The sequence below is a fragment of the Homo sapiens genome, chromosome 3 (assembly GCF_000001405.40).
Source record: "Homo sapiens chromosome 3, GRCh38.p14 Primary Assembly".
NCBI lineage: Eukaryota > Metazoa > Chordata > Mammalia > Primates > Hominidae > Homo > Homo sapiens.
Genome location: NC_000003.12, coordinates 60674743 through 60692227, shown reverse-complemented (window position 1 = coordinate 60692227; position 17485 = coordinate 60674743). Strand labels below are relative to the sequence as shown.

Here is a 17485-nt window from a genome sequence, read left to right as displayed (position 1 = left end):
AGTTAAAGCACTATATCTATGCTGAAACTACGAGGGCCTTGGGGATTGTTGTTTTTCATAATACAGATGCAGGTAGTGATACAAGATGAGTCTATGCCAATCCCAACAGGTATGCTAGGTGGAAAACCTGCTAGAGGATGGAAATTAGGATATAAGTTTTGTAAACCAACATGTCATTTAGCTGTAAGAGATTTATGTTTAAGTGACACATAAAGACAATCTTCATCTTTTTCTTGGCAAACACGGTCTCTTTCATGATAAACTAAAGTAAAAAGAAATCATTATGGACAAGGAAAAGGGAACAGTATCTCAGAGACTCAGAGTAAATGTTGACCTCCCAAGATGATATGTCACAGAAATCTGAAGGGATTTTTTGTCATCCTCAACAGCATCAGGAAACAGAAAGTGAAATGAGAGAATAAGTTTAGATTGTAAAAAGTAGGATTATTTGGAAAAGGAGATGGATTAGTCAAGAAAATATTGTAAAGAGACCAGAATGTCATAACACAATTGAAGTCTGTGTTGGAAGCTGAAAAGAAATCACTATTTAAAAAACACTCATGGCCAGGTGTGGTACCTCAAGCCTGTAATCTCAGCACTTTGGGAGACAATGCAGGCAGATTGCTCAAGCCCAGGAGTTTGAGACCAGCCTGGGCAACATGTAAACCTGTCACTTCAAAAAAGGCAAAAATTAGCCAGGTGTGGTGGCACACACCTGCAGTCCCAGCTACTTAGGAGGCTGAGGTGGGTAGATCACCTGAGCCTGGGGAGGTGGAGGCTACAGTGAGCTGTGGCTGTGCCATTGCCCTCCAGCCTGGATGACAGAGACCCTGTCTCAAGAAAAAAAAAAAGAAGAAAAAGAAAAAATCAAGAGGGGAAAAAAATTGATAATTTCTGTTGAAATGAACAGGTGCAATAAAAATTAAAATAACAAAAGAGATGATTAAAAATATAGAAAATAGAGATCATAGATTTGAACACCCAGAACCAAAGTAAGAATCACAGATGTTCTTGAGGCAGAAGCAATTAGAACACAAATAGTAGTGAAAGATTAATAAAAGCTCTTCGGAGCACAACGAACAAACAAAAACAAAACCCGATACCAAAAAACAAAAATTGAAGGGACTTTCCGTACTCCAGGCAACATTAATGAAAAGGGTTTTATATCATTTCAACTTGGTAATTTTTTAAAGAATAAAGTAAAAAAAATCCTTCACACACACAGGCAAACAAAACAGTTAGCCTTATAAAGGAGCAAAAAATCAGATATTTTTTTTTTGGCCACACTATATGGTACAAAATATTGCTATAAAACCTACTGCTTAGAACAGTTAGGACTCTGGATGAACTGTAGCAATCTGTGCATTAACAGTCTCTCTAGGAGATTCTTAAACATACTAACATTTAGGAAGCACTGCCCAGGTAACTGAGAGAGAAATTGAAGTTAAGAATTCAGTAACAGAGACTTCACAGATGGTGCTGCCACTGGGAGCCCCGTATTACCAGCTATGGTCAACCCCACTGTTTTCTTCGACATTGCTGTCAATAGCGAGCCCTTGGGCTGCGTCTCCTTCGAGCTGTTTGCAGACAAGCTTCCAAAGACAGCAGAAAATTTTCATGCTCTGAGCACTGGAGAAAAAGGATTTGATTATGAGGGTTACTGCTTTCACAGAATTATTCCAGGGTTTGTATGTCAGGGTGGTGACTTCACATGCCATAATGGCACTGGTAGCAAGTCCATCTACAGGGAGAAATTTGATGACGAGAACTTCATCCTGAAGCATACAGGTCCTGGCATCCTGTCCATGGCAAATGCTGGACCCAACGCAAATGGTTCCCAGTTTTTCATGTGCCCTGCCAAGACCAAGTGGTTGGATGGCAAGCAAGTGGTCTTTGGCAGGGTGAAAGAAGGCATGGATATTGTGGAGGCCATGGAGCGCTTTGTGTTCAGGAATGGCAAGACTAGCAAGAAGGTCACTATTGCTGACTGTGGACAGCTCTAATAAGTTTGACTTGTGTTTTATCTTAACCACCAGACCATTTCTTCTGTTGCTCAGGGGAGCACCCCTCCACCCCATTTGCTCGCAGTATCCTAGAATCTTTGTGCTTTCACTGCAGTTCCCTTTGGGTTCCATGTTTTCCTTGTTCCCTTCCATGCCTAGCTGGATTGCAGAGTTAAGTTTATGATTATGAAATAAAAACTAAATAACAACCACAACAACAACAAAAGAATTCAGTAACAGAGAAGTGGCTGGTTGTTAATAATTAAACCAAGTTAACAAAAAGTGAGATTTAAGTGATTGTAACTTTAATTATAATACTGAATGCAAATGTAAAACTATGCTTTTGAAAGAGAAAATATGTCACACAAAATAATGCTTTAATAAGCATTAAATATTTAATACCTTAATATTTAACACTAAGCAATAAGAAACCCAGGATCATATTTACAAGGTCCAGAAATAAATTTGTGACAAATTCTCATTTTTCTAGGGGTAGACTCAAATATTCTAAATATTTGAAAGTTTTAAAATGTATTCGTTCAACAAATATTAATATTCTTTTTGATATACCAGGTGCCACTATTAGAAACAAAAGTAGGATGCATGACTTCCAAACCAATGGAGAGAGAAAAGAATGTGCAGCCTGATCTAAATCACCAAGTACTGTCGTCCCTTGGTATCTGTGAAGGATTGCTTCCAGATACCAAAATTTGTGGATGCTCAAGTCCCTGGAATAAAATGGCATAATATTTGCATGTAACCTACAGACTACTTTAAATTATCTCTAGACTACTTATAATACCTAATGCAGTGTAAATGCTATATAAATAGTTGTATTGTTTAGGGAATAATGACAATAAAATGTCTGTACATATTCAGTATAGATGCCATTTTTTTTTCCTGAGTGTATTAGTCCTTTTTACTGCTGCTGATAAAGACATACCTGAGACTGGGCAATTCACAAACAAAGACGTTTATTTGACTTGCAGTTCCACGTGGCTGGGGAGGCCTCACAATCATGGCAGAAGGTGAAAGGCAAGGAGGAGCAAGTCACATCTTATGTGGATGGCAGCAGGCAAAAAGAGAGAGCTTGTGCAGGGAAACTCCTGTTTTTAAAACCATCAGATCTTGTGAGACTTATTCACTATCAGGAGAACAGCATGAGAAAGACCCACCCCCCATGATTCAATTGTCTTCCACCAAGTCCCTCCTACAACACAAGGGAATTATGGGAGCTACAAGATGAGATTTGGGTGGGGACACAGAGCCACACCATATCACTGAGCATTTTCAATCCATGATTGGTTGAATCCACAGATGTGGAACCCACAGACAAGGAGGGCCAATAGTATATAAAACAAAGAAAAAAGAGTAAAGCATAAACTACACAAAGCATGAAATAAGATTACAGTGTTACAAACATATCATTTACGGCAATAAAAATAAATAGTATAAAGTCCCCCAGTGGAAGAAAAATTAGATAATTTGACCATGGCCGGACACAGGGGCTTACACCTGTAATCCCAGCACTTTGGGAGGCTGAGGTGGGTGGATCACCTGGGGCCAGGAGTTTGAGACCAGCCTGGCCAATATGGAGAAACCCCAACTCTACTAAAAATACAAAAATTAGCCTGGCCTTGTGGTGAGTGCCTGTAATCCCAGCTACTCAAGAGGCTGAGGCGGGAGAATCACTTGAACCCAGGAGGTGAAGGGTGCAGTGAGCTGAGATTGCACCATTGCATTCCAGCTGGGGCAGTAAGAGCGAAACTCTGTCTAAAAAAAAAAACAAAAAAAAAAACACAAAACATAATTTGACCAAATAGTCTATCTGAATATTGATGTTCAGCAAGGGGATAGTATATGTTTGTAAAAAGCCATTTTCTTAGTATTATCATCCTTTGGTTAAGTCTTGCCACTGCCATATATTACCTGAATGACCTTGGGAAATGCATCTAACCTATCTGGCTTTGAATTTCCTTATGCATAACATAGGAATGACATTTCCCCTGTACCTGATATGTTGAAAAGAGGAAATATAAATGTGAAAGCATTGTGTAAAGCTGAATCTCATTGTGAAATGTTTATTAAACTAGTCTATTAAAATACAACAACTGTATATTTCAGCTAAAAAGCAAAATCTAACTGTAGGGTACTGAGAAGAAATATACCTAAAACAAAGTAACTCATTAGATTAAAAAAGAAAGAACAATAGAATGGACAAGATTTATTAGGCAGAAGCGAAATTAAAAAAAAAAGTAATCTTGGCAATATTTAGATGAAATAGAATCAAAGGCTATAAAAATATTAAATGCAATCAAGAAGGTTATATTTTCTTTAAGATAGACTTCACAATGAAGATAAGGCAGTTCTGAATTTTTATTGACTTGGTAACAGCCTCAAAATACATGAAACAAAGGCTGTTAGAAATATAAGGAAAAATTGATGGAAGTAGAATTGTTGTATGACACTTTAATACACTTTTATTGATCTTTCATGGGTCAAATAAACACAGAATTGATAGAATATTTTAATAATCTAACAAAGATGATTTAATAAATATTTATTAAATTTTGTTCTCTAGAAATAAGCAATACACTTTTTTAAGGAGCCATGAAGCATTTAGAAAAAAATTGATCATATATTATATCTCAAAGAAACCATATTAAATTATGAAATATAAAGTGTTAACAGCCTCCATGTTCTGCCTACACTGAAATAGAGCTAGACATTAATAGCAAAAGTTTAAATGCAAAAATCAGTAGCTTGGAAAAGAGAAATAATGATAACAAAAACCAAATTTTTTTCTAAAAACTCCAGATTCAAACAGGAAAGGAAACTATATAATAAACTGTTAGGAGAGTAAGAACTCTATGTATCAATATTTTAAATGGCTAAAGCTGTATTTAGCAGAAAATTAATAGCCCTGAGAACTTTCATTATTAAAGGAGAGTAACAAAATCAATCTGTGGAAAATAAAACTAATGAATTAATAAATAGAGACTCCTTTTTTTTCTGTTAAATAAGACCAACAAGCAAATAATATTTATTTAATGAGCTAGAAATAGGAGGAGCTTACGCAGCATAATACAAGATATTTACTGGAAACCTGTAGCAAGGTATGTTATTTAACGTTAACATTGTAAATATTACTTTCACTGCCACAAATGAGATGAGTGCTTGTGATTTTTGTAAAAGTTAAATCCCAAAGAACAATTTCTGCTTCCCATGTAGTCTGTAAACCCTCACAAAACACAAACAGCAGCAACAACAAAACTCTCTGAGGGATCTGAAGAATGAACAAAGGCAGCAAGATTCTCGAAGGGGGTTGAAGACACCTGGAAGTAGTATAGGTTAAATTTCTTATGACTATTATCCTGAGGTCAAGCCACAGGTAGGGCCACACAGAGTGGCTGAAACTCCTGTAGGAAGCTCAGTCTTTCTGGCCTTATGAACCAGGGGACAGAGTTTGGAGCAACCCCAGCTACTGGAAAGTAAGGGAGGAATGTCATTAAAAAGAGGGCCAGAAAAGGAGCATTACAAATTTTTGGTGTAAATTCTGCTCAAATCTCTGGCTGACCTTTGGAATATACATACACAGGCAGACCAAAGCAGTCAGTGAATTTGATAATATCAATATAGATTTTCTCTATGAAGAACAGAGATTGTATTTTTAAAAAGGATTAAAAAAAAAGCAACCAGAGCCTCAGGTTCCTATGGGATAATTCTTTTAACATATGAGTAATTGGTTCCCCAGAAGGAAAGGTGATAGAGAATGGGTCATAAAAATATTAGGTTGGTGCAAAAGTAATCGTGGTTTTGCAATTACTTTTCATTACAAAACCCACAATTACTTTTGTGCCAACCTAATATTTGAAGAAACAGTGGCCCCACACACTTCCCAAAATTGGTGAGAGATAAATGTACACGTTCAAGATGCTGAGGCACATTGTAATCAAACTGCTGAAAACCCAAGACACTATCTTGAAAATAGCCGGAGAAAAACAACACACTATATACATGAAACTGCACTGCTAAATACTGCCAACCTACCTTCAAAAACTATGAAAGCAAGAAGACAATGAAACAATATCTTCAATGTGCTGTAAGGAGATATGACTATCCAATCCCGAAGTCCATATCCAAAGATACTCATACTTCAGGAACGGAGTCAAAATAAAGTTGCATTCAGAAAAACAAAAACAGAATATTTATTGCCAGCAGACCAACTTACACTGTAAAAAATGCTTTGTTCTTTGGGATGACAAGAAAAAATAGATGAAAACTCAGATCCTTATGTAAAAATAAAGAAATCATAAATAGTAAGATAAATATAAAAATCAATTTTTTCCTCCTAATGTTTTAAGAATATGTATGTTTGTTTAAGTAAAAACTATAGCATCATTTTTATGGGATTTATAATACAGGTAGATGTAATTTCAATGACAACTTGAATTTAGAGGGAGTTTGTAAATAGATTCATACATGTGTGAGGTTTCCATATTGTATGTAAATAGTATAATAGTAATTCTAGGTAGACTGTAAAAAGAGAGGTTGGATTGAATTCCTGGTAATATGTGTTTAAATGGAATGAATACTCGTTCTTAGAATGAAGAGAAGTGTGCAGAATGGAACTTTGCAAGCCCTTACTGGCCCATATGTCACGGGGTGGAGATGTCACCATTTTCTATATGGCTCCAGATCAAGCAATCTCTTGACAAAAAGCAAGCTGGCTTCGAGTAACCTTCAAACGGAGTGTACCAGGCCAATGCAGAAGACATAACATGGTTTGCTTTCTTTCTCCCGTCCATTTTAGTATCTTAAGTACCAGCAGATAGAAGGTCCAGAAAAAAGAAAGAGGATGACATTGTAGGGGAGGCCAAATTTTCTCTCTTAGGGTTTTTTAGCTGGGCCTGAGGATTGAATTGACATAAGGCAGATCAGCGGGAGAAAAGCATACAAATTTAATTCATTCAATTTTTATGTGAGCACAAGAGCCCTCTTAAGGAAATGAAACCCAAAGACAGAGTTGAAAGTTGAACACCTATGTACTGAATTGGGAAAGGAATAGAAAATTGTGAGTATGTGACAAAGCCAACGGGCTTGGGCTAGGGAGGTTAATTGGGTAGAGAAGTAACTAGGAAGATAAGGGTTACTTTAATAAGGTGTGTTTGTTCAGATTTCTCTCAGCATCAACTTCTCGTCTTTGATGATAAGAACGCTACTTTCCCTCTGGCGTAGGGAGGACAAGTTATCTCCTGTTTCTAAGGAAAAGAAGAAAGCTCAGAGTATATTTTTTGTATCTGCTGTTTTTCCAAGTGTCTTTAAGCTCAAAATAGTCAATATACTAGAGCAACATATTTTGGAGTATTGTGTTCTGAACTCCTTCAATCTTTAGCATTTCTCTTCTGTCATTCTTCAGGCTCTTGAGCACTTTTGAGAAACTAATATGAATGGGAAAGATGTAATATTTACTCCCAGGAAGGTTGCTTTGGTGATCTAGTCTGTGAACTAGACTCAGGAAACTGTCTGGGTATTGGAAAGGAAGTCACGGATGCGCAATGGAATTTGTAAAGGGGTGGCACAGCTCTTGAATACTCTCCTTGGAAGAGACCCTGGCACGGAGAGAACAGAGTATTAACCTCACTCTGAGGTTGGGAAGACTAAGGGAATCTGAGGTGTGAGGAGGGATGGAGACGACAGGTCACACAATGTGATGGAAAACCGCACATGGAGTGGAAAGAACATGAACTCTGGAGTCTGGAACTCCTATATCTGGACTTGACACCGTATTCTGCTATGTGGCCTTCGGTGAGTGTGCCAAGTTGAATATTGGCTCTGCAAACGTATCCACATCAAATTTCTAGAGCTTGTGAATGTGACCTTGTTTGCAAAAAAAATGGTCCTTGCAGATATGATTAAATTGAGGATCTTGAGATGAGGAAATCATCCTGGATTATTTTGGGAGACCTAAATGCTATTACAAGAGTCCCACCAACCACCAGAAGCTGAAAGTGGCAAGGAATGGAATCCCTCCTAGAGCCTCTGGAGGGATCTTTGCTCTTAAACATCTTAATTTTGGGCTTCTGGCTTCCAGAGCTGTGAGAGCCACAAAGTTTGTGGTTATTTTTTATTGCAGCCACAGTGAAGAAGATAATAAAGCCAGCTACTGACCTCTCTGAATCTCAGTGCCCTCATCTGTAAGATAGAATCAGCTAGCTACTTTATAGCATTTTTCCAGGATTAAATGAGACATGTAAAATAGAAAACAAACAAACAAGCAAACAAAGAAAAGATAAGGAACATGCTGAGAAAAAAATATAGACACCCCTTGTTTGATGTTACTAATTGATTCCTGATGATCAGATGTATTACCCAAAAATGATTTCCTTGAGACAGTTTGCCATTACTTAAATGGGAAAAAATGTGTTATATGTCAAACCAACCCTCTAGTGAATTTCTTGAAGTGTAAGTAAAACACAGTAAAATAACCATAGTAGAACAATAATGTCACACTGAGACTTAAAATGCAGGCATATCTATATCTCAGAGATACTGCATGTTCACTTCCAGACCATCACAATAAAGTGAATATTGCAATAAAACAAGGCACACAAACTTTTTTGTTTCCCAGTGAATATAAAAGTTGTGTTTACAGTCTATAGTAGTCTAGTATGCAATAGCATTATAAAAAAATATGTTATCTTAATTTAAAAATTTTTTTTGCTAAAAATACTGGTGATCATTTGAGCCTTCAGTAAGTCATAATCTTTCTGCTGGTGGAGGGTCTTGCCTTGATATTTATGGCTGCCGACTGATCAGACTGGTGGTTGTTGAGGGCAGAAGTGGCTGTGGCAATTTGTTAAAGTAAGAAAACAGTAAAGTTTTCAACATCAGTGGCTTCTTGCTTTCACGAATGACTTCTCTGTTGCATACAGCACTGTTTGCCAGCATTTTACCCACAATAAAACTCCTTTCAAAATGAGTGAATCCTCTCCAACCCTTCTTTATCAACTAAGTTTATGTAATATTCTAAAGCTTTTGTTGTCATTTCAACGATGTTCATAACATCTTCTTCAGGAGTAGATTTTACCTCAAGAAATCCTTTTCTTTGCTTACCCGTAAGAAGCAACTCCTCACTCATTCAAGTTTTATTGTAAAATTACAGTAATTCAGTCACATCTTCAAGCTTTACTTCTGATTCTAGTTGTCGCTATTTCTTCCACATCTTCAGCTCCTTCCTCCACTGAAGTCTTGAACCCCTCAAAGTCATCCATGAGAGTTGGAATCAACTTCTCCCAAACACCTTTTCATGTTAATATTTTGTTGTCCTCCCATAAATCATGAATGTTCTCAATGACATCCAGCATGGTGAATCCTTTCCAGAAGGTTTTCATTTTACTTTGCCCAGATCAATCTGATAAATCACTATGTATAGTCTTACAAATGTATTTCTTAAATAATGAGACTTGAAAGTCAAAATTACTCCTTCACCCATGGGCTGCAGAATGGATGCTGTGTTGGCAGGCATGAAAACAACATTCATTTCCTTTTACATCTCCATCAGAACTCTTGGGTGACCAGGTACATTTTCAGTGAGCAGTAATATTTTGAAAGGAATCTTTTTTCTGAGCAATAGGTCTCAAGAGAGGGCTTAAAATATTCAGTAAACCATACTATAAACAGATGTACTGTCATCTAGGCTTTCCTGTTTCTTTTCAGAGAACATGAAGAGTTGGTGTAGTATCATTCTTAAGGGCCTTAGCATTTTCAGAATGGTCAATGAGCATTGGCTTCAACTTAAAGTCACCAGCTGCGTTAGCAGCTAACAAAAGAATCAGCCTGTTCTTTGAAGATTTGAAGCCAGGTATCGACTTCTCCTCTCTAGCTAGGAAAATCCTAGATGGCATCTTCTTCCAACAGAGGGCTGTTTCATCTCTCTTGAAAATCTGCCTTTGGCCGGGTGTGGTGGCTTACCCCTGTAATCCCAGCATTGTGGGAGGCCGAGGCAGGCAAATAATGAGGTCAGGAGTTCGAGACCAGCCTAGCCAACATGGGGAAACCATGTCTCTACTAAAAATACAAAAAATTAGCAGGGCGTAGTGGTGGGCACCTGTAATCCCAGGTACTTGGGAGGCTGAGGCAGGAGAATTGCTTGAACCCGGGAGGCAGAGGTTGCAGTGAGCTGAGATCGCACCATTGCACTCCAGCCCTAGTGACAGAGTGAGACTATGTTTCAAAAAAAAAAAAAAAATCTGCTGTTTAGTGTAGCCACCTTCATTAGTTATCTTAGCTAGATCTTCTGGATAACTTGCTGCAGCATCTATATAAGCACTTCCTGCTTTGCCTTTTATGTTCTGGAGATGGCTTCTCTCCTTGAACCTCATGAATCAGCCTCTGCTATCTTCAAACTTTTCTTCTGCAGCTTCTTTACCTCTTTTAGCCTTCATAGAATTGAATATAGTTAGGGCCTTTCTCTGGTTTAAGCCTTGGGTTAAGGGAATGTTGTGGCTAGTTTGATCTTCTATCCAGACCACTCAAACTTTCCCATATCCTCAACAAGCCTGTTTCACTTTCTTATCATTTGTATGTTCATTGGAGTAGCACTTTTAATTTCCTTCAAGAACTTTTCCTTTGCATTCACAACTTGGCTATTTGGTGCAAGAGGCCTAGCTTTCATCCTAGCTCAGCTTTTGACATGCCTTCCTCGCCAAGCTTAATCATTTCTAATTTTTGATCTACAGGGAGAGACATGGGACTCTTCCTTTCACTTGAACACTTAGAAGCTGTTGTCTGCTTATTAGTTGGACTAATTTCAATTTGTTGTGTCTCAGGGAATAGGGAAGCCTGAGGAGAGGGAAAAATGGCTAGTCAGTGCAGCAGTCAGAACACACAAACATTTACTGATAAAGTTCACCATCTTATATTGGGCTCCATAACACTTACAATAGGAACATCTAAGATCACTGATCACAGATCACCACAACAGACATAATAATAATGAATTAGTTTGAAATATTGGGAGAATTACCAAATTGTGATACATAGACGTGAAATGAACACGTGCTGTTGGAAAAATGGTGCCAATAGACTTGCTAGATGCAAAGTTGCCACAAACCTTCAACTTGTAAAACCACATTATCTGTGAAGTGCAATGAAACAAAGTGCAGTAAAACAAGGTATGCCTGTACTTAAAAAAATTATATCCTCGATCACTTGTACTTAAAAAAATTATATCCTTGATGACTTCTACAATTAACATGTTATAAAATGTTTGCTTTGTACGTAGTAGCTATTCTCACTTGTTTTGTTTTCTTCTCTACAATTGTCTTCAGTGTTTTCTCAACAATTTGGGGATTTCAACAATAAGCAAAAAAAGTAAAATGGGGAAGGCACTGGGAAATGTGCTCTAGTGCCTGGTGGCCAAGTGTGGCTCACACTGATGGTATGATGGCCTTTTAGCATCAGCAACTTCTGAAATGGGTGTTTCGTGTGTTGTCACTCAGCTTGCTTTCCAAAATATCTATATATTATTCTGATGTTCTACTGAATATGTTTTGAAAATATCTTGATGATTTTCCTATATTTCCTTTTATTGAAAGTTTTGCAGAGTTTGGTATTATAAATCTAAAGTTTTGCTACATGAACATTGGCAAAAAAAAAAAAATAGATGATGAAATTTGGATTTTAAAAACCAAGAGTCATTTTACCATGAAAATGTTAATCGAGGCAACATCATTCAGGTTATGCCTGTATTTGCAGAATGTTTCATAGTAGAAAATTAATATGAAATATAAAAAGAGTTAATACAAACAAGTAATCAGAAATAAAAATCAATAGAAAAATAACTAAGGGGTCTGAAGAAACATAAATTGGAGAAGCAACAGAAATGGACAATTAATGAATGAAAGAATGTACAACTGCAAAAGTAATCAGGAAATGCCTTCTAAAATCAGCACAGTATAGCTTTTTACATCTATCCAATTGTCAAAATTAAAGGGAAAAATAAATCTAACAATTCTAGGTGTTGGAGAGGTTGTAAAGCAATGAAGATTATCATTCACAGAGCAAACTGGTACAGCCACTGTGGAATATAGTGTGGCATCATCCAGAATAGTTGAAGACATGCAACTCCCATGGCCCACATGCCAAGGGGAATGTGCACAACATACTTACAATAGTATCTTTTTGATAATTCAGGAAAACGTACATGTTCACCAATAGCTAATACATAAATATTATTATTCAACTAAGAGACGATTTTCGAAAAGCAAAAAAAGAATGAGTAAAAACAACATATAGTAACAAGAATAACTATAAATATATGTTGAGTAAAGATGTTTTGAAAATGAGTTTCAGAAGAATGCAATCTAATACCATTATATAACAATTTAAAACATGCAAAAAAAACCCCATCATTTTCAGCTAGTTGGCAAATGTAGTGGAATTGGGCATGGGGATATTCTCCCTAGAAAAAGAATTTTTTAATGTTTTTTGATCTAGTAATCTCATTTATAGAAATCTTTCTTAAAGAAATAGAGATGCAGGCAAAAATTCATTATTATACTTTGGTATTATAGTATTTATAGAATAATTAAGTACTCTAAATTATCTGTCAGTAAACAGTGAAATTGTTAAATAAATTATGGAACATAAGGTAGTGTTTTAAAATCTTTCAAAAATTATATCTAATAATATGGGAAAATTGCATTGCTATGTAATCCGAATTTGGTTTAAAAATTAAACAAATAGCAAAAAAAGAAGGCAAATATATAAATAAGACTGGGAACTATAAAAACACTATCAATGTTTATCTCTGAGTGATAGAATAATATGTGATTTTTAAAAATGTTTTTCTGTAATTCTCAAATTAGGTGCAGTAAGCAGACATGACTTCTACAATCATAACAGGTAGCTTCATTGACCTGTTTCTAAAATGGGTAGGACTTTTTAAGGATTGAAGTTGTTTTGTCCAGTTGGACGGATTCTTATCCCTTTGTCTTTTCTTGTATTGCCAACTTCTGCCTATACTTGAAATAGTAGGGCAGATTTCTATATGTAAGCATTTAAAGGGTCTGCAAGAAATACTAAGCCATGTAGGAACTGTGAATATTAAATGAGATAATGAATGAAAAGAAGCCTAGCACAGTCCCTAGCCCAAGTAAGTACCTATTATTATTATTATCATTGACTTTACTACGGCTTTGGTGTTATGTCACAGACAAAAGTTTGCAAACCACTTTTTTTTTTGCTTGTTTTTTTTTTTTAAGGACTCAAAACAGTTACCTTTGAGTACTAAAGTCCTTAAGATGGAAAACGAGATGATATTTATTATGCCACTGATATGTTTCAGGAAGAGCTTGTGGAGAGAGCAGACAAAACAAATGGTAAATCTTGTTCTTAGAAAGAAAGAGCTATCTGTCCCCATTACAGCCAGCTGTCATGCCCAGGCTGGAGCCACTCTTGGGACAAAATTAGGGACACTTGAAAATGGTAAATCTTGGAAACTGAGAGCTCTGTATTTTTCAACTTAGGATCATAATCTATTAACCCCTATTTCTATCCCAGTTTTTCTCTTGGATAACTGATTTCATTTGTGCAACTTGCATTGAGAAGGTCAGGATAAGGCCTGGAAATTGTCAAACTCTAGATTTTGATGACATTTTGGTAACTCCTTACAGGAAAATCTATCAGTTACATGGTCCAATTGTAGGGGTGATATTTACTAATTTTGCATTCTATTGAACAGCGATATATAATGGAATGTATGTTGTGAATCTTCAATAAGTGTTTCTTTTCTCTTATAACCCAATGAATTGACCTCTATAATAACATGCAGTTGCTAAATGAAAAAAGAATTGTATTTAAGCAGAAAAAAGTTTTAGCAAATGTGATTTTGTATGCCAAAATATGCATATTAGTAGCTTTTATGAGAAGTGTCCTTGAAGGAAAATATGGTGAATTTGTATCTGGTTCAGGTCTTCTTTTAATAACCAGAAAACAAGGCTGAAACAAGCACAAGGCAGTTCTATCTGTTTGAATGATATAAATTGGTTGTTAAAAATAAAAATAAAATGAAAATGAAAACCAAGATAACAATACCAAGGATAAGTTAAACAAAAAGTTGGTTTTTTGAAAAGATGAACAAAATTGATAAGCCTCTGGCTGTACTAACCAAGAAAAGATCCAAATAAAAGTCAGAAATGAAAAAGAAGACATTACAAATGATACCATAGGAATACAAAAGATGATCAGAGACTACTATGAAGAAGTGTACACTCACAATCTAGATAATGTAGAGGAAATTGACAAATTCTTGTAAACATATGACTGCCCAAGATTGAACCAGAAAGAAATAGAAATCTTAAACAGACCAATAATGAATAGTAAGATTGAATCAATAATTTTAAAACCTTCCCCCTAAAATGCCCAGGACTGGATGGCTTCATAGCCAAATTCTACAAAATGTGCAAAGAAGAACTGATACTCATCCTACTGAAACTCTTCCAAAAAAATCAAGATGATTAAATAAAGAAAATGTGCTCTGTGTGTGTATATAAGTGTATACATATGTATATATATACACACACACATACACATATACATATGTATACACATATATACACACACACCACATGTATATACATATACACATATATACATACAGCACATTTTATTTATGTATATGTGTGTGTATATATGTATACATAATAGAATACTATTCAGCCACAGAAAATGAATGAAAACATGTCTTTTACAACAACATGGATGGAATAGGAGGTCATTATCTTAAGTGAAAAAACTCAGAAACATAGTGAAATACCACATGTCCTCACACGTGGGAGCTGAATAATGTGTGTATGTAGACATAGAGTATAGAATAATAGTCACTGGAGACTCAGAATGATGATGGGGTGGGAGGGGAGTGAGGTAGTACAATGTACACTATTTAGGTGTTGATTACATTAAAAGCCCAGACTTGACCACTATGCGGTATATCCATATAACAAAACTGCACTTGTACCCCTTTAATTTACGTAATTAAAAAATTGGCTGGGCACAGTGGCTCATGCCTGTAATCCAAACACTTTGGGAGGCCCAGGCGGGCAGATCAATTGAGCCCAGGAGTTGGAGACTAGCCTGGGCAACATGGCAAAACACCACCTCTACCAAAAAAATACAAAAATTAGCTGGGCATGGTGCCACATGCCTGTAATCCCAGCTACTATGGAGGCTCAGGTGAGAGGATCCCTTGAACCCAGGAGGCGGAAGTTGTAGTGAGCCAAGATGGCGCCACGGCATTCCAGCCTAGGTGACATTATGAGACCCTGTCTCAAAAACAACAATAACAACAATAACAACAAAAGAAAAAATTATGCTCACTAAAAGAAAAAAACAGTAATTAAAAAAAATGAGTTCTTGTGGTGAAACATAATGGCACCTCCTGGTTCCTTCTTGCATTTGAAGATTATAGATGAGGATTTTCAGGGAATGGTCAAGATCAAAACCTATTTGGTCTCCCAAGATTTTCCAGGAGAGGCTGTAGGCCTCTTCCTAGCTTACCTGGCATGTACATACTAACTGCAGGTAGCAGCTGTATGAAGTTGTTGGGTAACTCATTTTTGGTTGTGTTCTCTAGGTGACACATTAGGCATTTTTGTCTACCTTTAAGTCCTCCATTCTCACCTCTGGTAGAGTGTAAACTCCATAATGAGAGAGACTGCTTCTGACTTGTCCACCTCTGTACCCTAATTTAATGAAAACATGTTGAACAAATAAAGAATAAACCTAGTGGTGGTCCCAATCATCCACCTGCCCTTCCAACCATCGTCCTTTCCAGATTGCAGCCTTCTATATCAGAAGTGTCAGCCTTTGTTTTCTTGCTCTGGGAAGTGATGATTTAAGTTCCACACCACCAAAGGATTGTCAAATACACACAACAAAAATAAACTTGAGCTAAAATTGTGATGTAATATGCAGAGAGATTGAAAAAGCTAAGAAAATAAATTATACCACTTTGGCCATGCAGATACAGGAACCATCTGGAAGCATCTCAGCAACCTGAAAGGGAGCATCTGATGCCTCGAATTGCCCTGTCCGTCAGCTTTAGCTGCTATTCCCATTTGCTTCTCTTAAATGTATTTAACTTGGGACAAGTTGGGAGCCACCTTCTCTTTTCTGAGGTGATCTTAGAAGATTGATATACGTAAGTTGCAGCTTGTTTGGATTGTTTATCTGTATTTAAAGGCTCTAGCCAGGCATTGTATTTTGCTGTTAAGATAAAATCAATAAATAAAAACTTAAAAAAGAACCAGACTAATCCTTGAACATTCCTAAACATATACTCTCTCCTGCTTTCAAAAAGGAACACTGCTTAATGTTTACTTATTGTAGTCTTCTGAGAATTTGATTTGCTGTGATTGCACCTTTATTCAAAAGTACAGAACCTAAAAATGGTACAAAGAAAGTTTATTTCAAATCAGATGCATTTGCAAGCCAGTGTCATTAAAAAACATGCTGTTGGTAGGCTGAGGTCAGAGTCTATCATAGAGACAGATGTGATTTATTGCAAAAGAGAGCAGACTACTGCTTAGGTATCAGGTGCAACCAATACATAACTACCACCAAGGAAGGGCTGGTTGTGATGACGGTATTGGAAGCTGGTGCATCAGACTCATTACAATTTTCATGTAATCTCTAAACTTCCTTGTTAAACTATTTTCTACTCTTCGTAACTTTTGAAAAGAGAGAATATGGGAGAACTTGAGCTTCCTCTTTCTCCTTCTCTGGCTTCTTTTGTTCCCGGGCAGAGACATTAGCTAGCAGTCAGATATCTGAGAACATGGTAAGAGAAATAAGAGCAGGAAGCCTCGGCAACTCACTTGATAATTATTTTTCATCATTTAGTAGCAGGTGGTAGAATAAATAGGATCATTTGTAAAGTTCAAGTGTTGATGGTGGTAGTGGAGAGAGATACTAAAGCATTTTAGTTTTCAAGCCACAATGAAGTAACTGGTATCATTCTTGACCTCATTTCATGAATAACTATAAAATTAGATAAAATGTATGCGGCAACTGTTTTCAGAAATTGGCTAACAGGCAATGCAGGGCTGTGACCCTTGAGACAAGGTAAACCCCTGAGGCAAGCCTTGCATTCACCTTGGCTTTCTGCCTAGGGGTGCATTCACTGGACTGGCTAGTAAGGAGGTGGGGCCAAGCATTACATGCTTGTTTCAATGAACTGATAAGGCAGAGTTTGTACTTTGTTGCTGCTGAGGGGCTGGAATTAGCAGAGTAGGGTACTGAATAAGAGAGATGCATGAGGTAGGGCATGTGGAGGTAGTGTACATGGAGGTTTCTTTGCAGGTCATTGTCTGAAGGATTGACTATGTATAAGCAGGGCAAGACACCATGAGGCCTAGCAGAGAGGGTTCACTGTGGGACCAAGAGCCGAACAAAGACACTAGTGGTTGCCCAGAGATGGG

The 17485-nt window shown here is 36.8% G+C and overlaps 1 protein-coding gene and 1 pseudogene across 6 annotated transcripts in view; both read left to right on the top strand.

The window, feature by feature from the left end:
• The window catches only part of FHIT (fragile histidine triad diadenosine triphosphatase), a 1504176-nt gene that overhangs the window by 559225 nt on the left and 927466 nt on the right, over window positions 1–17485 (top strand). The window lies entirely within an intron of this gene.
• On the top strand, window positions 1497–2212 carry PPIAP70 (peptidylprolyl isomerase A pseudogene 70; annotated as a pseudogene).